We start from the raw sequence: 25,352 nt of genomic DNA, 5'->3' as shown, positions 1-25,352 counted from the left end.
TATAAGGAATAGAGGTTTAATTGACCCACAGTTCTGCATGGCTGGGGAGGCCTCAGGAAACTTAAAATCATAGCAGAAGGTGAAGGGGAGGCAGGCACCTTCTTCACAAGGCATCAGGAGAGAGAGAGTTCAGGGGAAACGGCTACTTTTAAACCATTAGATCTCCTGAGAACTCCCTCATTCTCATGAGAACAGCATGGGGGAACCATACCTATGATCCAATCACCTCCCACCAGGCCTCTCCCTCCACACGTGGGGGTTACAATTTAAGATGAGATTTGGGTGGGGACACAGAGCCAAACAATATCAGTGCCAACTACCATTTCCCCGGAATCTCCCTGAGGCTTGAAGAGTCCTGGTTGCTTCTTAGGGTCCTGACAGATTATGATGGCTTTGCGTTTCTCAGCTTCCCATGTTGAAATGGGAAAGCCTCTTAGTGCCACATTTCCTCCAGTCCACCTGGTGCTGCCACCTTGCTGGCAAGGGGGCACATAGAAGCCATGGTGCCTGCCCTTCCCAAGTTCCAACCCTCAGCTAATACGTAATACTCCTTAAAGTGTTATTCAGTATACGGTGTAATCTCTCTCTGCACATCAGGCTTCACATGCAAAAGAACATTTTTTTTAAATGGGAAACTCAGGGGAGAATCAGAGCTTCTGCTGATGTTTTAGAGCGTAAAATGGGATTTTTCTTCACGTTCATGACTCACCTTCTCTGGTTATTCCTTTTTGCTTATGCAATGCTATTATAACAACTAGCTATAAAATAAAAACATAGCCTACAGGAATCAGCTGACTTGGATTCCCATGGAAATATGATTCAGACTCCATGACTAATATCAGGGAAACTGATTACAAAAACCATTAGTCACAACTTTTATATTGAAATCCATGTTTTTCCTCTCTTACCTCTTGAATGTAAACTGAGGTCCTTCTTCAGAGATGAGAGAAGGGTGGTGTGAGGCTCCCATCCTTCCAGAAGAACAGGGGGTGAGGTCTTCAGAAGTGAGGAAGGGCTCCTCATCACCATCCATGATGAAGCACAGCAGGCAGATGCTCTGATGGAGGTGACACTTTGCATTTATTCCTATCATGCTATAAATGACTGATTAATCTGTTTTTGCTCTGAGCACAGGTATTGACAATGAAAGATAGAGACAAAGTAGGAAAATGCTACATTGGGAGGGGCTGCCATGAAGTTTAGAATGGGAGAAAGGGGAGGTTGCTGACTTTGCGTTTTCTCCCTGATGACTTTATGTTCTACCTCCGCACCACAAAGCGCAATACCTGGTAAAAGAAAGTCTGGGATTTAACCTGTAAGAGGAATCTGTTTGTTCCCTGGATGTTTTAAAATTTCTTTTTTTCTTCTTTCTTTTTTCTTTTTCTTTTTCTTTTTTTTTTTTTTTTTTTTTTTTTTTGGGACGGAGTCTTGCTCTGTTGCCCGATCCTGGCTCACTGCAACCTCACCTCCTGGGTTCAAGCAATTCTCCTGCCTCAGCCTCCTGAGTAGCTGTGATTACAGGCATCTGCTACCACGCCTGACTAATTTTTGTATTTTTAGTAGAGATGGGGTTTTGCCATGTTGGCTAGGCTGGTCTTGAACTCCTGACCTCAAGTGATCTGCCTCCCAAAGTGCTGGGATTACAGGTGTGAGCCACTGCACGTGGTCAAGGATGCTTTAGAATTCTCTGGAAGAGCCACAGGCAGGAGTTAACTCTTTAAAGGCTGCATTTCCCTGGGCAACCAAACACTGAGGGTCTTAGGAATTTGCACCGTAAGAAGATATATACACCTTGATATTCCACATGGTATCACTTGCCAAGAATGGGTCTTCTCATTGTTAGGAAAGAAAAGTTGGGAAAAACTTAATTTGGATTTTGAGAGGTGGAAATATTGAAACTTTCACCTGTAAAGAAAGTTTATTGTGATTTAATTATAACCTCTGGTATCATGAAAAGATGAAAGATCAACGATTCTGAAAGAAATGAATGCCTTAAAACCTGATGTTCCCATTGAGACATCAAGGTGAGATTTCTTTGGATGTTCAAGTAGCTGCGTAGTGGCCCTTTCCAATGTGGTTCTGTGTGTGCTCTCAGAAATTCCTGGACTCTGGTCTGAATGTGTCTCCCTCCAAATTGCTGTGTTGAACTCCTCATTCCTAAGGTGATCATATTAGGAGGTGAGGTCTTTGGGTGGTAATTGGGTCATGAGGATGGAGCCCCCATGAATGGAATTAGTGCCCTTATAAAAGAGACCCCAGAGAACTCTGTTACCCCTTCTGCCATGTGAGGACACAGGTAGAAGATGGCTGTTTATGAACCAGAAACCAGGTCTTCACCAATTACTGAATCTGCTGACACCTGGATCTTGAACTTCCAGCTTCCATTACCATAAGAAATAGATGTCTGTTGTTTATAAGCTGCTCAGTTATGGTGTTTCGTTACAGCAGCCCGAGGGACTGCACCACATAGAGTGAATGAATGAGTGATGGAGCCTAGAGCCACCTAACACATTAAGGAACAGAAGGTTATCCCAGTGGGGCCTGCAGAGTGGGGTGCTCTTTCCCCAGTTGCTCTGCCCTAGGGATTCTTTTTTTTCAGCGGGGTGTGGGGGATGAAGATCTCACTCACTTTATTTTAACTTTGATAGCACAGGAAGTGTATATTGACACTATATCTGATTCAAACAATTAGTTGTCTTTGAAATGACTTTACTGCAGAATAAGTTTAACAAGTATGCCTTGTTTTACTTTGTAATTTTTTTTTGATTTCACATAGCTTTATTTTTATATCTGTTTTGTTTTTATATTATTTTATTTCCATTTACGTTACTTTTTTCTTTTTTATTTCAATAGTTTTTGGGGTATGAGTGGTTTTTGGTTACATGGATGAATTCTATTATTATGATTATGATTATGATTATGAGATTATTTAGAGACAGGGTCTTACTCTGTCACCTCGAGTGGAGTGCAGTGGTGCAATCATAGCTCATTGCAGCCTGTAATTCCTGGGCTCAAGTGATCCTACCACTTCAGCCTCCTGAGCATCTGGGACTACAGGTGTGCGCCACTATGCTGGGCTACTTTTAAAAAAAAATTTTTTAGTAGAGACAGGGTCTTGCTATGTTGCTCAGGCTGGTCTTGAACTCCTGGCCTCAAGCAATCCCCCCACCTTAGCCTCCCAAAGCACTGGGATTTCAGGTATGAGACACCACACCAGGCCCTGGATAAGTTTTTTTAGTGGTGATTTCTGAGATTTTGGTGCACCTGTCACCTGAGCAGTATACATTGCACCCAATAAGTAGTCTTTTATCCCTCATCCCCCTCCCGCCTTTCCCTCTGAGTCTCCAAAGTCCATTATATCATTCTTATGCCTTTGCATCCTCATAGCTTAGCTCCCACTTATGAGTGAGAACGTCCAATATTTGGTTTTCCATACCTGAGTTATTTTACTTAGAATAATGGCCTCCAGCTCTGTCCAAGTTGCTTCAAACACCATTCAGTGTGAATGAAGGTACTTTTCCCTGAATCACTGGAAACCTTGAGACAGGGGAGCTCATGGCACCTGAAGAGGGAATAAGTATAGGAAGAGAGAGAAAGAAGATATGAAAATAGGGTGAGGATCCTCAACCTGCCCCAACCTGCCTCAGCTGCCGACCTCACGTCCCAGGTAAAGGCTTGGCAGGTGGAGTTCCCAGCCTAGCCGGATCCTTGTTTCCATTAAACCCATGCTGATTTTGTCTGTTTTTATTTAACACTTAATATAAAGGAAGTTTATTGACTTATTTTATTATGAGTGTGATGCGTATTTATTAACAAAAAGTTAGAAAGCATAGATAAACAAAAAGAGAAACGTTTTAAAAATCACAAACCTCACCTACTTGAAGACAAAAAATGACATATAAATACATTTCATGCATATAGAGGCATCTGACTCCTAATTTTTTCACTTAGCGATATATGACGACTGCTTTTCCATGTATAGAGATGGCCATATCAGTTCGTTTTCATGCTGCTGATAAAGACATACCCAAAACTGGGTAATTGATAAAGAAAAAGAGGTTTGTTTAATGGACTCAGTTTCACATGATTGGGGAAGCCTCATAATCATGGCAGAAGGAAAAGGAGGAGCAAAGGCATGTCTTACATGGCAGCAGGCAAGAGAGCTTGTGAAGGGAACTGTTGTTTATAAAACCATTAGATCGCAAGAGACTTATTCACCACTACATACTAACAGTATGGGAGAAACTGTCCAAATGATTCAATTTTCTCCACCTGGCCCTGCCCTTGACACATGGGGATTATTACAATTCAAGGTGAGATTTCATCGGGGACACAGCCAAACCATATCAATGGCCATTGTCCTTTCTAATGGCTGCAATTAATCCATTCTATTGATGAACCAAATGTATTAACAAATCGCCTATTGAATCACGTTTGTATTGTTTATGGTTTTGCTCTTACAGTGTTGTAGCAGGTATCATTGTATAACTTTTCCTTGTGCCTGTGCATCCATTCTAGTTACATATAAATATATGTAAAGAGAGAAAGAGAAAGGGAAATACTTATTTTAAGGAATTGGCCCATGTGACTATAGGGACTGGCAAATTTAAAATCTGCCAGGTGGGCTGGCGGACTAGAAACCCAGAGAAAAGCCTGTGTTGCTGTCCCAGTCCTAAGCTGACTGCTACAGGATCCCCGCTGCTCATGGGAGGTCCGTCTTTGTGTTCTATTCAGGCCTTCAACTGACTGGGTGAGGCCCATCTACATTATGAGGGCGATCTGCTTTACTCAAAGTCCACTGATGTAACTGTTAATCTCCTCCCAAAACACCCTCATAGAAACATCCACATATCTGGTCACCATGGCCCAGGCAGCCTGACACATAAAATTAACAGTCACAGAAGACCTGATGGCTGGGGGATTTTTATTCACTCGTGTTATTTATATGGTCAGCCTACTTCTTTGTAACGTATGCATGTTGTTTTATGCCGTGTGTGGGATGTGACTCGGTGGCTTAGTATTTGGCTGGGTGGAGATTTCCTGGAACATTGAAGCTGCCCTGAGTAAGTGGAAAATGTGGTGGGTGAGATCTTAGGGGAGTGAAGGAGACCAGGCCTCCCAAGCCTGAGCCATTTATCTCCCTCCTTAACACTAGTCTTTCACATTGCTGGGAACGTGAACCAGCATCATGCAGCTTTGGAAAAACCCAAGCCACTCTTTCTACTGCAAACACAAACAGAGAGGATTCATGGACGTGGAAGCTACATGAACTCTGATCTGTGCTGCTTTCAGGAAATGCCCTTCATAATTTATTCTGGGGATTCCATTAAGAATCTGCACTTAGTGTCTTCTTCTAACTTCAGAAGACTTATGTATTACAAATCAATACACAGATAAATGTATTCTCCACGTTTGTTCCTCGCTTTGGGGCATGGGGAAGACCTTCCCACTATCCCACATCCTTGACTGGAATCACTAGAGAGGAGGCACTAGGGGCCAGCCTCTGTCCTCTCAGCGGGGAATCCAAAGGGAGCTCAGATAGAATGAGTTACGGTTTTGTAAAGTAGCATTGGCCCCTACTAGAAGATATTTGACATTGATCATGCAACATTTTTGCAAACAAATGGCTAAATTAGGCTTCAAACTCCTCTTGTGACTCATTTATGTTCCTTAAAAATACAAACACACACAGAGAGATATATAAATATTTTACATATAGAATACATATGTAAATTAAATTTATCAAACAGATAATATACATAGATATATATGTATAGATTATATTTATAGTTTTATACATTTACATTCTTTATATATTGTATGTTTGTATAGCAATAAACATGCAGGTATATTTTTGCATTCATTTGTTATATATAAAATACATAATTGAAATTTAATTTATTTTTCCAATAGGCTCTGCTCTTTCTGCTCACTTCTTCTACCTGTGTGGTTTTATGCGTAGGGAGAAAAATAAGTGAGCCCTTTTTCCTGGAGCTTAGTACTATTACTAAAAACTGGCATTAACTGAGGGCTTCACACACATTTTGTGAGTGATTATCTCAGTCTCCTAATTTTGACCATAGGTCTACCAACCTTCGTTTTCCTCTTTGTTATTATGAAATAAAAATCTATTTCTCTTTTCTCACACTTTTCTCCTTCACTCGTTAGCCTATTGCATACTTCAGATAGTCATGGATTGTAACAGGAAGTAAGACCCATGTCCCATATTTTTTTTCATAAACATCTGAGCAACCACATTTGCTGAAACATTTAAGTTCTAGAAATATTCAGGTCCAATTTCATTCAAAATTATCCACCCAGCCTCATCAAATTCAAATTGGTTCGCAAATAATGTGTTCCAACTCTGGCCGATTGATTGCTTGTTAATTCTCTGCCTGGCACTGCAAATTCCTGGTTAGCCTGAAAATGAACATTTCATTCTAACTTCCTGTGGTTTCTTCTTGGGTGGGTGTTTGCGAGGCTTTGAAATTTTTCCCTCATCCTTAATTGTTAAGATCAGCTAATGATTTAAAGCCCCTGAGCGATTATGGGAAGACCAGAAATCGCGGAGCAAGCTCAGTGATCCCCCAACTCTATAGGGCGAATCCATCTATAAAGGACAGTGTGGAACCTTGAACTGACACCAGATGAACTAAATAAGAAAAATCTCTATGAGGCTTCCTTTCAGATTTAACCTGTACCAGTGAACTCAGATAGGTTTGAAATATTTGTTTGTCATCTTCTGTGGGCATGGGGCTGGGCTGGGTCTAGCACGGAGTAGAGTATGCCTTACAGACATTGTCTCATTCTGTCGTAGGTGATGCTGGCTGTGATTTCCATTTATCAAGGGAATGAACAAGGTATATCAAGGCCAAGTGACCTATTCTGTGACTCTGGCATCTGGCCTCTAGTAACACAACCAGGCCAAGAATCAGGCTGACTCTCCCAGTAATTCAGGGGAAGCAATGGCTCCATTTATAGTACTTGGAGGGAAATTCACTTTTCTTCTTTTTTTGTTAACACATCTAAATTGAGTTAGTATGGGTATATAAATGTGTTTTTCCTGAATATCAAGAGAATTTAAAAGAGCTTAATGGCCCCCAGGTATGATTACATTATGTACATGTGAAATCAACAAGCAAATCCTTAATTTTAAATACTTCTACACCTAAAGCTACTAGTGGCTACCATTTATTGAGTGTTCTCTATGCTAATATTGATTAAGGCATTTATTCATTTATACTAAGAAAATATATTAAGATAGGCTTAAAAAAAACAAAGAGCACAGCAAAAGAAGCTATCAACGGAGTAAACAGACAACCTACAGAATGGGAGAAAATATTTGCAAACTATGTCTCTGACAAAGGTCTAATATCCAGCATCTAAAAGGAATTTAAAAAAATTTACGAGAAACAACCCCATTAAAAAGTAGGCAAAAGACATGAACAGACACATGTGGCCAACAAGCATATGAAAAAATTCTCAATATCACACTTTGATATTCATTTGATATTCGTTAGAGAAATGTAAATCATTAAAGAAATGTAAATCAAAACCACAATGAGATACCATCTCACAGTAGTCAGAATGGCTATTTTAAAAAGTCAAAAAATAACAGATATTGATGAGGTTGTGGAGAAAAACGAACACTTATACACTGTTGGTGGGAATGTAAATTAGTTCAACCATTGTGGAAAGAAGTGTGGCAATTCCTCAAATAATTGAAAACAGAAATACCATTCAACCAGAAATCCCACTACTGCCTAGATACACAGAGGAATATAAATCATTCTACCATATAGACACATGCACACGTATGTTCACTGAAGCACTATTCACAATAGCAAAGACTTGGAAACAACCTAAATGCTCATCAATGACAGATTGGATAAAGAAAATGTGGTACATATACACCATGGAATACTATGCAGCCATAAAAAAGAACAAGATCATGTCTTTTGGGTGAATGTGGATGGAGCTGGAGGCTAGTATCCTTAGCAAACTAATGCAGGAACAGAAAACCAAATACTGCATGTTCTCACTTATAAGTGGGAGCTAAATGATGAGAACTCATGAACAAAAAGAAGGGAACAACAGACACTGAGGTCTACTTGATGGGGGAAGGTGGGAGGAGGGAGAGGAGCAGAAAAGATAACTATTGGGTACTGGGCTTAGTAGCTGGGTGACAAAATAATCTGTACAACAACCCCCCATGACACGAGTTTACCTATGTAACAAACCTGCACATGTACCCCCAAACTTGAAATAAAAATTAAAGAAAACTACAGTGGTCCCTTGGTATCTGGGGGATGAGTTCCAGGTCCCCTGTGGATATCAAAATCTGTAGATGCTCAAGTGCCTGCTATAAAATGGCATAGTATGGACATATAACCTATGTACACCCTCCCATATACTTTAAATCTTCTCTAGATTACTTATAATACCTAATACAATGCAAGTGCTATGTAAATAGTCGTTATACGGTATTGTTTAGGGAATAACAATAAAAAAGTCTACGTGTTCAGTACAGATGCAATTTTTTTCCAAGTATTTTTGATCCATGGTTTGTTGAATCCACGGATGTGGGACCCATAGATATGAAGGGTCAGTACTAACAGCAATTCCTGGAGCAATTCCTTGGATTATTGGGAATCCAATCATCTTTTATCTATGCCAGTTATTTGCCTTCTAGACCTTCCCTCATCTCCACACATTGAAATCCTACCCCTTCCTTCAAAGCCCATCCTGCTGAGGACATTAACTCCATTAAATTCTTTTCAGGTGACTTCGTTCTCTGCTAAATTCCCGTAGCATTTTATAACTCATATATTTTGTTGTGTAATGTCATTGAGTTTGTCCTGCTTTCCCGTCTAAGATGTAAGCTTTCAGGTGACAGTTTCTGTGCATTTTTCATTTTTTTGTATTCCTTGACACAATGAGTCATGCATGAAGTAGGTGCTCATTCTGTGTCGGTTGAATTAGTTAGCTCTCAAAGTTGGAAGGGACCATAGATTTCATGTAGCCCAGCTGAGACTACACCTCATACATGCCCCGATCCTGTAGATCCAGATGTTGCCACATGATTAGCTCTTGCTAGTGGATATGCACAGAACTCACGGCCAGGATCTCTACAAAGCATTTGCACATACAGTAAATCCTCATAATTTAAAATGCAAGAGACCGGGAACAAATGGGCTTTGAAGTAACTGAGTTCATATTAACCAGAGGTTTTATTAAAAACCAGAGAGCACTCACTTGACCAGAGAAAGACAGCTGTTTTGAACAATGACTATGATGCTGCTCAATGATGCTTGCATTTCCAAGGTATTTTTAGTCACCTCTGTTGATGATGATGATGATGACTAAAAAAGCACTCTGCAGCTCATAAGGAAATGCACACAGGCTGAGTGATTACTGTGAATGGGCCTGAAAATCTCCACTTAGTTCTTTTCCACCAGCTAGAAGCAGAGGACTCCAGAGAGGGTGGCCAGTGCTGCAAGATGCAAAAGCCTGGGATCCTGAGTCACCACCTGGAAGAAGGAATGAGCTGACCAGGAATGCCAGCATCAGGCCATTATGTGAGCAAGAGAGAAACTTCCGTTGTGTGAAGCCGTTGAAATTTATGGGTGATATGGTTGGGCTCTGTGTCCCCACCCTAAATCTCATCTTGAATTGTAACAATCCCCACGTGTCAAGGGTGGAACCAGGTGGAAGTAATTGAATCATGAGAGCAGTTACCTCCAGCTGTTCTGGTGATAGTGAGTCAGTTCTCACGAGATCTGATGGTTTTATAAGAGGCTTTCCACCCTGTGCTTAGCACTTCTCCTGGCTGCTGCGATGTGAAGGATGTGTTTGCTTCCTCTCGCACCTTGATTATAAGTTTCCTGAGGCCTTCCCCAGCCATGCTGAATTGTAAGTCAGTTAAACCTCTTTCCTTGATAAATTATCCAGTCTCGGGTATGTCTTTACTAGCAGTGTGAGAACGGAATAATATAAGGGGTTATTTATTAAAGCAGTAGCCTTAACTTTATTGAATCTTTTCTTTGATGGAGTGTTTATTGTCCCAGCTCTAATTGCTATGAAAACCTTACTCACACTGAGCTAAAAGCTGCCTTCCCAGGAGTGACTCCAACCCATGGGCTACTGTTTTGCCTTTTCAGCGTGCACAGATGTATTTCCTCTTCATCAAGAAGCCTTTCCCAATATTTGGCAGCAGAAGTCATATTGGCTCTAGGATGATATTTCTCATTTCTTCATTTATGGCTGCAGTGCACAGTAGCAAATGATTAGAGTTTTAACCTCAGAGCTAAACAGACTCTCTCCTAGAGAGTTCCTTTTCTCCCTGACTCTTCCCAAAACTCAGCAGTCATCCCAAGGCTCTTACACCAAGAATTGTCCTAACTTTGGATTGAAGCCATAAGCTGCATGAATCAGATCTTTTTTCCAAAGATTAATAAAAATATTTACTCACTTGGTTGTATCTTGGGGGAAAAACCCACGAGACGTTTACAAAGAAGAGCTGAGACAGTCGAAGGCACTGCCCATCACATACTGTCATACAAACACAACAAGCCATTACTTGCTCATTCAAGAACCCTCTAGGAGTCCCCAGGTTCTCTTTACGGAGATAAAGGTAGGCTTGGGCATACTGTGTTCTAGAGTATCTGACATGATAGTGAAAATGTTACTTTTAAGCTGAAATACAATTTAATGAAGATAGCTACTTTCACACTGAAACAGTCACTGTCTCCAAATTCAGAGACTAAACTATCCATAATAAACTATCCATAAATTGCTGGCCTAATTCAGTTTGTCCCACGGATGCTTGCAAAGTCCAGATGTTATTAGTTGTTAGTAAAGCCCAAATGCACAGGGTTTTTCTTTTCCTCTTGCACAGCAGTTCTTCAGCCTTGCAGAGGATCTGCCTAAGATCAAGTAGTGTGGACAGAATCAGTCACGATATTTGTTATTTTATTCAGCTCCAGTTGAACTGCAGAATGGTGCGTTTATGTCACCTGCATGTCGCTTCATAATAATTATTCCGTGTGCATTTCCTTATGAGATGTGGAGTGTCTTTTAAATCACCATCCTCAACATCGGTGACTAAAAATACATTGGAAATAAAAACATCATTGGCTAGGCACGGTGGCTCACGCCCAAAATCCCAGCACTTGGGAGGTCGAGGCAGGCAGATCACCTGAGGTCGGGAGATCGAGACCATCCTGGCTAACATGGTGAAACCCCGTCTCTACTAAAAATACAAAAGATTAGCCAGGTGTGGTGGCACGCGCCTGTAGTCCCAGCTACTCGGGAGGCTGAGGCAGGAGAATCACTTGAACCCAGGAGGTGGAGTTTGCAGTGAGCTGAGATGGCATCACTGCACTCCAGCCTGGGGAACAGAGAGAGACTCTGTCTCAAAAAACAACAGTGAAAACAAACAAACAAACAAAAAAACATCATTGAGTATCATCATAGTCATTGCTTGAAACAACTGGCTTTCCCTGGTCAGCTGAGTACTGTCTGGTTTATAATAAAACCTCTGGTTCATGTGAACTCAGTTACTTCAAAGCCCATCTTGTTCTCAGTCTCTTGCATTTTAAATTATGAAACATTTGTTTGTTTGTTTTTGAGGTGGAATCTTACTCTGTTGTCCAGGCTGGAGTGCAGTGGTGTGATCTCGGCTCACTGCAACCTCTGCCTCCCAGGTTCAAGCAATTCTCCCTGCCTCAGCCTCCCGAGTAGCTGGGACTACTGATACCCACCACCACGCCTGGCTAATCTTTATATTTTTTAGTAGAGATGGGGTTTCAGCATGTTGGCCAGGCTGGTCTTGAACTCCCGACCTCAAATGAACCGCCTGCCTCGGCCCCAAAGTGCTGGGATTACAGGTGTGAGCCACTGTGCCCCACTGTTCAGTTTAGAGAGCTGTGGAAATAAATAATCATTCTAGTGTTCTGTTCCTCTTAATGCTTTCCATGCTGGCTATGGGTAGCGAATGAGGACCATGGATCACCCAGCATCACCATGATAGAAGAGATGAGTAACCCGACAAGATGATGCCACTAATTATTTATGAGAATGCATTAGAGAGCCCTCTGAGAAAAAAAAAAAAAAAACTATTTTGTTTGACTCTTTTTGTATCCTCTCCCAGGAGCAAAGAGAGATTTCTATCCAAGAAGAATTTTAATTATTGTAATAGTTAGTAATTGCCAAAAGTTTTGATGGAAAAACTCTGTGGAATCTTTTATTTTTTTGGTCAGAGAGAGCCAAAAAGAGTGAGTTGACAAAAGAAAGAACAGCTGTGTTTCCCGAAGAGTTTTTAGGCAAGGAGGAGAGAGGCTTCCATGGACGCTGGGTGGGAGTGTAAATTAGCACAAACAATTTGGAGGTGTATGAACAATATGCTTAAAAATTTCATACGTGTATACCCTTGACTCAGGAATTTTGGAGGATAGAAATTTAACTCCAAAACCAGCAGGCAAAGATGTAGATCCAAAAAAGTTCACAAGTTTTGGAGAACTTTTAAATAATTTTAAATAAAGATGTACTTTGAGTGATGATTATATGTGAAATATTTGGGTGTTAAAGATTGGATGATGGCTGAGACCAGCATGATTCCTGCCCTTCATGTGCCAGCAATGGCATTGCCTGGAAAGGACCATCTCCTGGGCTGGGTGGGATACATGGATGGTGTTTAGTTCCCGAGCCAGTGTCCAAACCACCTAGCAAGAAGTTAAAAAAAGGAAGTAAAGAATAGAGAGGGTGAGCTCCTGACCTGGTGGAGGGTGCAGGCCAGCTGGAAAGTGCACTGGATAACCCAGAAATATTGAGAAGAACCAGGGTGAAGTCAGAGAGGGGGAGGCCTCAGAGAAAATGTGGTCATATCACAGTTTTGTCCATGCTCATTCTCTAACCTAGATGCTACTTTATCCTCATTTATTTGTTTACTTATTTATTTGAGATGGAGTTTTGCTCTGTCGCCTAGGCTGTAGTGCAATGGTGCGATCTTGGCTCACTGCAACCTCCGCCTCCTAGTTCAAGCGATTTTCCTGCCTCAGCCCCCCGAGTAGCTGGGATTACAGGCATGAGCCATCACGCCTGGCTAATTTTTGTATTTTTAGTAGAGACTGGGTTTTACCATGTTGGCCTGGCTGGTCTTGAGCTCTTGATCTCAGGCAGTCCACCCGCCTTGGCCTCCCAAAGTGCCGGGATTACAGGTGTGAGCCACCGTGCCCATGCGTGAGCCACTGTGCCTGGCCTCTCATTTCTTTTTGCCATGTTTTTACCTTAAAACGTTTGCTTTTTGCATTTAGCTTGGAACTTACGCTCATATAACTTCATCCTTAGTTCTTCAGAAAACATTTCATATGTCCTTGTGAAGAATATTGTATGACTGTCCACCATTCCCTATGAACTAATAGGTTTTCAGAAAATATTTCATATGTCCTTGTGAAGAATATTGTGTGATTGTCCACCATTCCCTAAGAACTAACAGGTTTTGCAAAGCCTGGCACGGGGTACGATGTCTCGATTTGCAGCTCACTAACCAAGGACCTCCCTTCATTTCCTCTGTGTTTGGCAAGGCTGAGATGAAGAAGACAGTCCCTTGTGGAGGGTGCCTAAAGCACCTACCCTCATTCCATTTGAGACACAATCCTGCTGGTGCCTGTTAAATAAGCCGATGAGAGCACTGGGTCTTTAATGCAAAACAATGAAAAAGTCTACAACTTATTTCCCTTCAAAAACCAACGGCATGTTTGAGAAGTCTACAAACATCAGAGTGTGAGAGTGTCTGAGTGTGAGTGTGTGTGAGTGTGGATGAGTGTTGTGAATATGTGTGATTGTGTGAGTGGTGTGACTATGAATGTTAGCATGTGAGTGTGATTGTGACTGTGTATGACTGTGTGTGAGTGGTGTGCATGTGATTGTGTATGTGAGTGTGAGTGGTGTGTGTGTGTGTAAGTGGCGTGTGTATGTGGATATATTTGAGTGTATGAGTGTGAGTGTTGGACCTGTATGCAAGTGTGATAGTGTATGAGTGTGTTTGTGAGTATGACTATGTGAGTGTGAGTGGTGTGTGTGTATGCTAGTGTGATTGTGAGTGTATGAGTGTGTTTGTATGTCTGTGAGTGTGAGTCGTGTGTATATGTGAGTGTGAGACTGTGAGTCTGGTGTGTATGTGAGTGTGATTGTGAGTGTGAGTGAGTGTGTCTATGTGAATTGGGTGTGAGTGGTGTGTGTGTGAATGTATATGAGTGTGGGTGTGTGTGTGTCTAAATGAATGTGTGAATGTGTGAGTGGTGTGTATGTCAGTGTGTGTGTGTGAATGTATGTGAGTGTTAGTGTGAATATGTTCGTTAATTTAGGAAGGCCACACGCAGAGCGTAGACCACTGCCAGCCACCTCTTCAGCGGGTGGAAAATTTCTGACAGCCAGGCAAGGTCTGCAGGCCCCATCATCTCTCTGTTTGGGGTCTGCAAGGATCTGGAGAGAACCCCGCTGGAGGAGCTGGGCTCCCGGAGGCACTGGCAGCAGACCTCCATGTCTGCTCACCTCTTATTTGGAAATGTGGGAAATCACCCCCATTTCATCTTTTCTCTGTCAGTAGAGAACTTTAGTCTTCTTATTTGCTCAGTTACTATTTTTCCCACCATGGGAATATCTAAATCATCCTTCCTTTCCTAAATCTCTGCTCTATTGTCTTGCCGGTCATCCACAGTCCAGCCCTGATGCTGGATGCAATTGCTTCAAATGAATTAAGGAGCCGTGAGTGACTTTGAAAACCTAGCCTGTGGCTTCCCATGGGGGAACTGAAGGAAGACTTCAGAGACCACGTAGTTTAAGTCCTTTATTTACGAATGAGGACCCTGAGACAGTTTACATAAGCCCACCTGGTATGAGAGCCAGAAGCTTTGGATAATCTGGTTCCCCCTTCAGAGGTGACTCTGCAGGAACGCGCAGACTGAAGGCATAAGAAGCCCGTAGAAAGCGGTTAAAACAAGCCGTGTTTCTTCCCCTGTGATTAGTCGGCTTGAAATGTGTAGGGGGCATCTTCCACCCGTGCTGGGGCTGGGAATGGAGCAGTGACCGTGAGTTCCGTGGCACCTGCTGGATTTTGTAGTCCGTTGGGGAGCATAGGCTGTAAGTGAATACTTACCAGCGTATTGACGGCTCAGAAGAGAAAGCAGAATGTTAGCGGAGCACCTAATAGGACACAACTGAAATATTCCAGGCCCCTTGTCTCATGTTTGGCGGAAGTCTCCTGTTTCCAGTGGAGCTGTGTGTGTGGTTCACTTTCCAGGAGGATGCACCGTCCCCCAGGTGGTGTGCTGGGAGATTGGAAGTTCTCCACTACATGGCCTCTGGGCCAGTGCTATTAGCCCCACTGGGGAGAAGAAGAAACCGAGGGTAAGACACTGAGGACTTGTTTGAGGTCACACAGGAACGGAGGTGAAGAAAGAGTCACGGGTGGGGCGTGAGGGGCTGCTCACCGTGGCCGGAGTGGAGAGTTTAAAGTAGAGAGTGCCGGGACCGTGCTATTTATTTCTGGAGCCCGAGGCCACCTCCCCTTAGGAGATGATGCGCAGGGCCAGGCTGAGGCAGAATTGTGGGGTAGGTGACGGCTGCCCTCAGAAGTCTTAAACTCCCTGTGCAACACCTCCAGTGCCTTTAATGCCACTGCTTTCTCTTGGAATACGGTGTCATCAAGCTCCCTCCCCTGACAAATTCACTCCTCACTTCCTTCCCTCTCGACAAGCGGTTCCTTCCTCCCAGGAGAACAGTCCTCCCTAGAGGGGGCCATCTCAGGTCCTTGGGCGATGTGGGATGTGAGGAGGCTCTCCCCTTTCCGAGAAGCCCCGGAGTTGGCCGGGGCAACCAGGCGCCAACTCCACCCATGCGGCCTTGGGCTCAGGTAAACTTTGAGGGCTGTTTCTAACATGGAGCAGGGCTTTTAGCGAGCATATGATGGGGAGGATTTGCATCTTGGAAAGGAACTAACACAAGATACAAAGAAGCAAACGTCTCACCTTATCTCTTTTCCAGAGCCTCCTCAAGGCACCCACTTTCCTGTCTTTCCTTCATGATTATTCTTGACTGGTGACATTTATTCCTGACTGGTGACATTTATTGAACACCCAATGCATGCTACCAACAATGCTTTTTTTTTTTTTGTATCAGAATTATCCCTGGAAAAAATATAGAGGAGAGGTTAGTGGCATTTTTATTGTCCATCCGTACGTGGTACAGCACTGGAGAAAGGTAGTCAATACGTGGGAAGAGCCTCCTGTGAACTCATACTTACTTCACAAAGGAAAGAGGCTAAAATTCTGCCTTTTCTGAACAGCTGTCTCCATAGAGCTCGGTTCTGTTCTGGTTAAGTTAGTTAAGATGGTTAGTTTAGAGGGTACTTGGTGATAATGGGGCTAAGCCTTCTTTGTTTGTATTTTGTAATTACCTTTTTTTCTTTTTGTTGAGATGGAGTCTTGCTCTGTCACCCAGGCTGGAGTGCAATGGTGCGATCTTCTGCCTCTCGAGTTCAAGCGATTCTCCTGCCTCAGCCACCCCAGTAGCTGGGACTACAGGTGTGCACCACCACGCCCAGCTAATTTTTGTATTTTTAGTAGAGACACGGTTTCACCATGTTGGGCAGGCTGGTCTCGAACTCCTGACCCCAAGTGATCCACCTGTCTTGGTCTCCCAAAGTGCTGGGATTACAGGCATGAGCCACGGTGCCCTGCCACGTTACTTTTATTGATATAAAATTTATATAACATAAAATCCGCAGTGTATGGTTTTATACTTTTCACATTTGTAAGTGTGCATCAAGGTGGTTTTAGTGTACTCACAATGCTGCGCAACCCTCACACTCTCATTCTTGAAGATTTCTAGCCTTCCCCAAAGAAACTCCACACCATTGGCAGTCACTCCCAAACTTCCTCCTCCTAGTCTCTGGCCACCACTAATGTACTTCTATGGATTTGCCTATTCTTGCCACTTTATATAAATGTAATCATATAATACATGGTCTTTTATGTCTGGCTGCTTTCACTTAGAATAATTTTTTCAAGATTCATCTGTGTTTCAGCATGGAGGAGTACTTTGTTTCTTTTTATTCCATTGTATGTATACACTACATTTTATTTATTCATTCAGCAGTCAGTGGACATCTGGTTGTTTCTACTTTTTGCCTATGATGAATAATGCTGCTGTGGACATCCCTGTACAAGTTCTTGTGTGAAGATGTGTTTTCAGTTCTCTTGGGTGTATACCTAGGAGTAGAATTGCTGGGTCATATGGTAAATCTATGTTTAGCATTTTGAGAAACTGCCAAGATTTTTCTCACAATGATTGCACTATTTTATATTCATACCAGCGATGTAGGGGGATTCTGATAACTTTCTTGCCATCACTTGTTAATTTTGCTTTTTTCTTTTGAAATTATAGCCATCCTAGTGATGTGAAATGGAAACTTACTGTGATTTTGATTTCCATTTCCCTAGTGACTAATGATGCTGAGAATCTTTTCACGTGCTCATTGGAATCTGTACATCTTCTTTGGGGAAATGTTTATTTAAATCCTTTGCCCAGTTTACAATTGGATTGCTTGTCTTTATCGCTGAGTTGTTCTTTATACATTCTGGAGACTGGACGCTTATCAGATATATGATTTGCAAATATTTTCTCCCATTCCGTGGGTTGTCTTTTAACGTCTTGTCTGTCCTTAGATCATTGTTTTGAGCTTCTCGAAGGTCACTAAATGCCACACACCTATGGCCACAGACTCGAGATGGCCTCTGGCACAAACATTAGTTATAAAGGGGCTGAATGAGGAAGTGCAGGTGGATCTTGGAGATGCACTCAGAATTCCTCATTTGAATGCTTTGTAGAATGCCAAATAGCATTTCAAGTAAGAAAAAAAATAGATACCTAAAAAAAGACAGGAAGAATAATTTTGGGAAAACAGTCCAGATCTTGGAAATTGCAGCCAGGGAGTTGTTTGCTGAAGCACATCTTGCTTGAAGCACAAGACAGGGACCCCATCCACTAGAACCTGCATTCTCTCAGGGAGGTTGCAAGAGGATGGAAATAACTAATGTATCATTTAACACAGTTACTAATTAGTAATGACTGTCACTACTTGTTCAGTGGTCCTTTTGCATACATTATTTCTACTACTCCCAAAACATAAATAAGCCTTGTTATTATGCATGAGATGTGGAAACTGAGGCCTAAAGGGCTTGTCTTAGTCCATTTGTGTTGTTATAAAGGAATACCTGAGGCCGGATAATTTATAAAGCAAAGAAGATTGGTTCGTGTTTCTGCAGACAAGAAGCATGGTGTCAACATTTGCTTCTGATGAGGGTCTCAGGAATCTCCCACTCATCGTGGAAGGCGAAGGGGAGCCTGTGTGTGCAAAAATCATGTGGTGAGAGAGGAAGCAAGAGTGGTGGGGAATGGCCAGGCTCTTTTAACAACCAGTTCATGCAGGAATGAATAGAGCAAGAACTCAATCACCCCTAAGGGAGGGCATTCATCTATTCATGAGGGATCCACCTCTATGACCCAATCACCTCCCATTAGGCCCCGCCTCCAACCTTGAGGATGAAATTTCAACATGAGGTTTGGTGACAAACATCCAAAAGAAAGCAGGGGCCCACAGCCTGCCAGTGGTCACACAGTTTAACAGTGACTGAGACAGAATCCAAACTCAGATCCTAGGACTCCAAGGCTGGTGTGCTCCAAGGGCACCACACTGCACTTCTACCAGCTCAGCGATGCCCATAGGGTCTTAGGGAAGGAGGCTCTCAGTGAGGCTGGGGCAGTTACGGAGATGGGAGAAAAGGAGAGCAAGAGAATGTGGCCATTCTCGGGGAAATAACAGATAGCAAAAGCAAAGGAACAGAGGGCTGAGTTCACATTCTCAAGGGAGGAGAAATAAGCTTATTTTGCATTTTTACATTGCATCTTTGAAATCATTACATGGAGATTGGTGCAGTACTGAGGGGCAAGCAGCCACAAAGCTCAGAGGTAGATACCACGAGTAGATGGCATAGATTACAGGGCAGACACTGAGACGTGAAAAATCAAGATGAGAAAATTAAAGGCCAGTGTGAATAAGGCATCTGACTGGCATGTGATACTGTATAGATACTTCAGAAAGATCCCATGTTCCAGCTCCATCTTAGCAAGGTAGGGCAGCTTGGTGCAATTAATAGACGCTATTAGATTCTGTTAGGTAGCATCTAACAGTTTGAGTCATACACCTGGGACATAAACAAAAAAAAAGCTGGTATGTTTTCGCAGTGTGCCCCTGCTCAGTTTCCCCAAGAGTAAACTTGAGGACCCTGACCCATTTCAGCTACCCTGCAAATGCAAGGCTCACCAAGCCTATGCTACACAGACCATTTTATTTTATTTTATATTTGTTTCTTTAAATTTTATTTTAAGTTCCTGGGTACATGTACAGGATGTGCAGGTTTGTTATATAGGTAAATGTGTGCCATGGTGGTTAGCTGCACAGATCAACCCATCACCCAGTTATTAAGCGCCGCATCCATCAGCTCTTCTTCCTGATGCTCTCCCTCCCCCCACTCCCCACAGGCCCCAGTGTGTGTTGTTTCCCCTGATGCGTTCATGCTACACAGATCTTGAGGGTTGAACAGGACGTGTTCAGGCCTGCGCTCTCAGCTCTATACTCTGTGTCATCCGTGATGAGAACACTTCTCCCAGCTGAGTTCGGGACCACTTGAATCAAAGCCCTGCATACCATTTGGGCCTGTTCTGTGATCATTCAAGAAATGACCAGCTGAAACCTTGCTTCTTTGGTTAGGTAGTTTGGGTACAGGAAAAGTGCCTGTGTGTATAAGGTCTAAAGTAGGGAAAATACTAAAAAGACAAGGTAGGGAGAGACAGAGAGAGAGAAGGTCTGGATTTGAGTCTTAAATCCACCCTTTACCAGCTTTAGGATTTTTTTTTTTTTTTTTTTTTTTACCAATTGCCCTGTGCCACAGTTTCTTGCCCTGTAAAATGACCCTTACTCTACATACCTTCTATATTCATTATAAGGGACCTTTGAAAACAAGATGTTGAAAGAATTTTCACAAACTGTAACATGCAATAAGCTGTTGGTTCTGCCATTCATTCATCCACACACTCCTAAATGGTGAGGCCCTCGTCAACTCTGGGAACTCACTGGGATGCAAAACACTGGGATTCTTGCCCACAGGGAGCTGACCATGTAGATGAAATGCATACATTAAGTAGTCACACAAATAAAAATAGAATGATTTAACATGATACATGCTATTAAGCAGGGTCAGACGAATGTCCATGAAGCATTTCAGGGAAATATGTGGCTTCAAAGAGAGAATCGTAAGAGCTGTGCGTCTCATTCCTCTGAAAGTGTTAGAATAGCCAAGATTATTTAAAACTCAAAGGTCATAGGGGGCTGATATGGTTTAGATGTTTGTCCCTTCCAAATATCATGTTAAAATGTAATTCCCAGTGTTGGAGGTGGGGCCTGGGGGGAGGCGTTTAGGTCCTGGAGGCGGATCCCTCATGAATGGCTTGGTGATGTTCTTGCAGTAATGAGTGAGTTCTTGCTCAGTTAGCTTCTGCAAGATCTGGTTGTTTAAAAGTGTGTGGCAGCTGGGCGCGGTGGCTCACACCTACAATCCCAGCACTTTGGGAGGCCAAGGTGGGTGGATCACTTGAGGTCAGGAGTAGGAGACCAGCCTGGCGAACATGGTGAAACCCTGTCTCTACAAAATTACCAAAAAAAAAAAAAAAAAAAAAAAATTTGGCTCAGCATGGTGTCGCACGCCTGTAATTCCAGCTACTCGAGAGGCTGAGGCAGCAGAATCACTTGAACCTGGAAGTGGAGGTTCCAGTGAGCTGGGGTCATGTCATTGCACTCCAGTATGGACAACAAAAGCAAAAATCTGTCTCAAAAAAAAAAAACAAAACGTAAGATTTGAAGAGACGGGGTCTCACCATGTTTCCCAAGCTGGCCTTAAACTCCTGGGCTCAAGTGATCCTCTTGCTTTGACCACCTAAAGTGCTGGGATTACATTACACAGAAGCAGTTTTTAAGGCATGTTAAAATAAAACCCTGTTACAGAAAGCAACAGATTAATATGTCAATTTAATTTATTTTCGAAGTGGGGCTGTTCAATTGGTAATGTCATGATGTTAAAGCAAGTTTTCCAATTGTATTAGTTGATAGTCTTATGCCTTTTGAGACATGTGAGCTGAAGAGTATATGTTCTAGGAGGACAGGCTCCTAAATTCTTTTAGTTTCTTTTACCATTTGCAAAAGGCAGATAATCATAGGCGCCAGGACAGATTGTTGGGAATTTAGAAATAATGATAATAAAGATTCTTGGACACAGAAGGCACTCAATAAATGCCAACAGTGCCTAGGAAAGTACCTTGATTGTAGTAGGCATTCGATAAAATTGTTCCTGGCCTATTTGAGCCCTAAGTGCTTGGGCAATGAAGAAATCAAGAAGAACCAGGTTTCATACCAGAATTGTTGCCTAAGGGGCAGAAACATGCCAGCTATCATCATTGTTATTGTTACTGGCAATAATCATTTCTCCTGTGCTTTAAGTGTACTGCCCAATAAACCAAATTAAACTCAAACTAATAACGCCTTCTTGGGAACATAATCTCTCATGTCTTGACATTGCTGATGGTCACGCATGAAACATTTCCATAATAACAAGCACTTTACGGGCATCTATCTTATGAAGTAGAACATTAATTTGTATTGTTTATAAGAGCACTTAGGTTAGAGGAAGACAGATTATATTGAATCATGGCCAGCCCATTGCTCACCCTTGTCCGTGGTTGAGAGCTGAGCTTAACTAAACAGCATCTCCTTCCAGGCACAAAAAAGGAACATTGAGTTTCCCTTGATTTGTTTTTAGGGAGGAGGCTGAAATCGTTGCTAGCATTTTTTCTTTTTTTTTTTAGTTCCAGTCAAGGAATGTTATTAGGCTCTTCTAAAATAAAATAGCTATACTTTTGTTAGAAAGTAAACAGGAAGCCACTAATCAAAGTGAAAAACTGGGCTTACCAGATCACGTTGGTCTTTAACAATTTGAGCCTCAGTTATTTTTTTTCTCTCTCTACGTTAGCAAAAGTAATATTTCTTGCCTGTATTACAAGGTAATGCTGAGTAGAAGATTAAAAAATGTATATGTGTGTGTGTGTTTGTGTGTGTGTGTTTGTAGTTTCTAATTTGTAAAATTCACATCAATATTGTGATGACTATCACTATTCCTGGATTTCCTAGCCCATGATTCCTTTCAGCTCACGCAGCAGAGAATTAGACTGAATAACGTTTCATATGTTCACTCTTGGACAGTATGAAAAAGGACAGTGGCTACTTTTTTTTTCTATTTCCGCAATTCCCCAGGAGCTTGAGGAATGTCCTGAATTATAGATTAAGATTTTTCTAGAAAATGTGTGTTCAGGAGAGAACATCATTGAATGACCACCTATGGAATTCCATTCAATGATATTTAGCAAGTCCAGGCGATTTTCCTGGTCTCTTTTGGTTCAGAAGTTGTGGTCTGCCTTGGGAAGCACTGGGCAGCTTGAAGTGTGAACTTTAGCCAATAAACTTCCCAGGACCTGGGTGGGAGAGAAAAGATGCAAGAACTAGAATGAATCAATCATTTAACCTTATGTCGTTAGTTTCCTCATGTATAAAATGAGCTCTAAGGTTCATTCAGCTCTAAACTTTCATGCTCTGGTGACTCTGTCATGTTTGACTCTAGTTAGAGAAACTACTACACAACTTACTAGGATTGCAACAGTCCCGATTCCTGTAAAAGCCACATGTATATTAGAATGTTTTCAAATGGAAGTAAAGAAAACCTTCCAAAAGTGGCTTAAACAATGAGGACATTTATTTTCCTACATGACTTGAAGTCCAGGCAGACAGTTCTCAGGTTCGTTCAGTGGCTTGTGGATGTGTTCAAGGACTGAAGCTCGTCCCATCTTTCTGGGATATGATCTCTGGTGTTATGGCTCAGACTTTCTTGGTTTCATGGCTCAGACTTTCTTGGTGTCGTGACTCAGACTTTCTTGGTGTCATGGCTTGGACCTTAGGCTCATGCCCTCATACTTGCAATTGACTACTCCTGACCTCACATATAGATGTGACTTTTATCGACCCAAGAAGAAATGGAGCATTTCATCTATTACTCTTTTTATTAAGGAATTCAACCTTTCTTAGAAGTCCTGCTGATATGGTTCGAATCTGTGTCCCCACCCAAATCTTATGTTAATTGTAATCCCCAATGCAGGAGGGGCCGGGTGGGAGACAATTGGATCATGGGAGTGGATTTCCCCCTTTGGTGCTGTTCTCCTGATAGAGTTCTCATGATATGTGGTTGTTTAAAAGTGTGGAGGACCTCCCCCATCTTTCTTACTCCTGTTGCAGCCACGTAAGACGTGCATGCTTCCCCTTCACCTTCTGCCATGATTGTAAATTTCCTGAGGCCTTCTCAGCAATGCTTCCTGTACAGCCTGTGGAACTGTGAGCCAATTAAACCTCTTTCCTCTATAAATTACCCAGTTTCAAGTATTTTTTATTGCAGTGCAAGAATGGGCTAATACACCCCCAAACTCTCAGCAGACTTCCTCTCTTGTTCATTGGCTAGGATTGGGTTGCATCACATGCCCATGCTCTAGCTGCAACAGAAGAATGGAAGGAGCCTTGGAAAGTATCTAGTGTTTTCAGCTCTTCTGGGAGGAGGTAAATTCTACAAGAAAGGGAGCTGGAAGTGGGGTGTGTATAGCTACAGAGTAGGAAATAAAAAATATTGTGTCACAAGCTAGGAAATATCCAGCTTTACCTGTGGGTAGTAGAAGATAAATGTATTTATACTTGTCAGCATTAGAATACTCAATTTCATCTGTAGAATGACCAAATTGAAATAGATAATCCTCGGTCTTACAGACCTAATGGAAGAAGCAGATCCATGTACCTAAAGAATGCAAAATGAGCTATTCATAGACCATGGGCCTATTTTTGCCTTTCTTGACAACTTTAATTATTTTTTTAAACTAAGGGCTCCTTCATTCTTTCGGAGTCCCCAGTACTTCAGTGAATGATAGTGTTCTTGAGTTTCTATGAGCACATTAGAATTTTACACCTTCGAGGTTAACAGAGCCTGTTTTTATGTGCTGATGGCTATAATCAAAGCACAGGATTACTTAAACTAACAAGCGAGGATCCATCCCAATAGAAATGTAAACAGAACTTTAATCCATCATTTTGCTAATGGTCCTTTCCTGGTACATTCATCAGCCTCCGTTCCAGCTTTTGGCCTAATACATACACTGTGTTGTTTTATGACCTCTCCTCTGACTGTTAATATAGGAAAGGAGGTGTTATGTCTCCCATTACACAGAGACATAATGGAATGAGGGACTTGCTGGAGATTGCATTTTCTATCATTGCGTAGGTCTTCTAACTGGACGAATGCCAGTTTTCCCTCCTGGTCTCGGCCCAAGTCCTTCCTTTGGCATTCCCAATTTCCTTTTGTATTCAGAATGAATCTCATGTTCACATGGATATGCTTAGAGGTGGCAAACCAGCATCTTCCAAGTGGGTGTCCTTGATGTCAACAGAAGAGAAACAGACCAAATGGCCTGGCATGGCCCTTTGCCCGCACTGCTTTGTAGCCAAGATAGAAACTAAAGCCCATTGGCTTCATCTGGACACTAATCCAGATAAACATTTAAGCACATGTATTTGTCCACGGGTGCTATTTGTCCTGAAGCACAGTGAAATTTAGTCTAACACTTGATTTCATGTTTTGATGTTTCTTTCTCTGCAATCTGATACTGTTGTAAGCATGAATATACTAGTGTGCTAGGGCTACCATAACAAAGTAGCATAGACTGGGAGGTTTAAACAACAAGAATGTATTTTCTCATCATTCTGGAGGCTTGGCAGACCAAGATCAAGACGTTGGCAGGGTTGGTTCCTTCTGAGGCCTCTCTCCTTGGCTTGCAAATGGTGCCTTCTCTTTGTGTCTTCACGTTGTCTTTCCTTGGTGTGTGTCTGTGTCCCAATCTCCTCTTCTTATATAGACACAAGTCAGATCGGATGAAGGCCCAGCCTAATGACCTCATTGGAATTTAATTACATTTGTAAATTCAGAGTGAATGGGGGTCAGGAGTATAACATGTGAATTTTAGGGGATGTAATTCAGCCCATAACAATAAAGTTGGTGGTTTACCCAGATGACTACAGGTTGGGGACACTTCTGAAAGGACAGATGGACTACATGAGCTATGTGGCACAGTCAGATGTCGAGAAACTTTGCTAT

The 25,352-nt window shown here is 42.2% G+C and overlaps 2 long non-coding RNA genes across 2 annotated transcripts in view; one reads left to right on the top strand and one right to left on the bottom strand.

Annotated features, from left to right (window-relative positions):
* LOC105376387 (uncharacterized) overlaps positions 1-25,352 on the top strand; it is a 294,200-nt gene that overhangs the window by 5,959 nt on the left and 262,889 nt on the right. The window lies entirely within an intron of this gene.
* Positions 14,835-16,219, bottom strand: LINC02665 (long intergenic non-protein coding RNA 2665). Its single transcript, NR_184104.1, has 3 exons — positions 16,029-16,219; positions 15,158-15,385; positions 14,835-15,069 (listed from the first exon to the last, which is right to left on the bottom strand). It is a non-coding gene; the product is annotated as a long intergenic non-protein coding RNA 2665 (long non-coding RNA).

The sequence above is a fragment of the Homo sapiens genome, chromosome 10 (genome assembly GCF_000001405.40).
Source record: "Homo sapiens chromosome 10, GRCh38.p14 Primary Assembly".
Classification (NCBI taxonomy): domain Eukaryota; kingdom Metazoa; phylum Chordata; class Mammalia; order Primates; family Hominidae; genus Homo; species Homo sapiens.
Note: the sequence above shows the minus strand (reverse complement) of the source record. Positions and strands in the feature narration are given on the sequence as shown.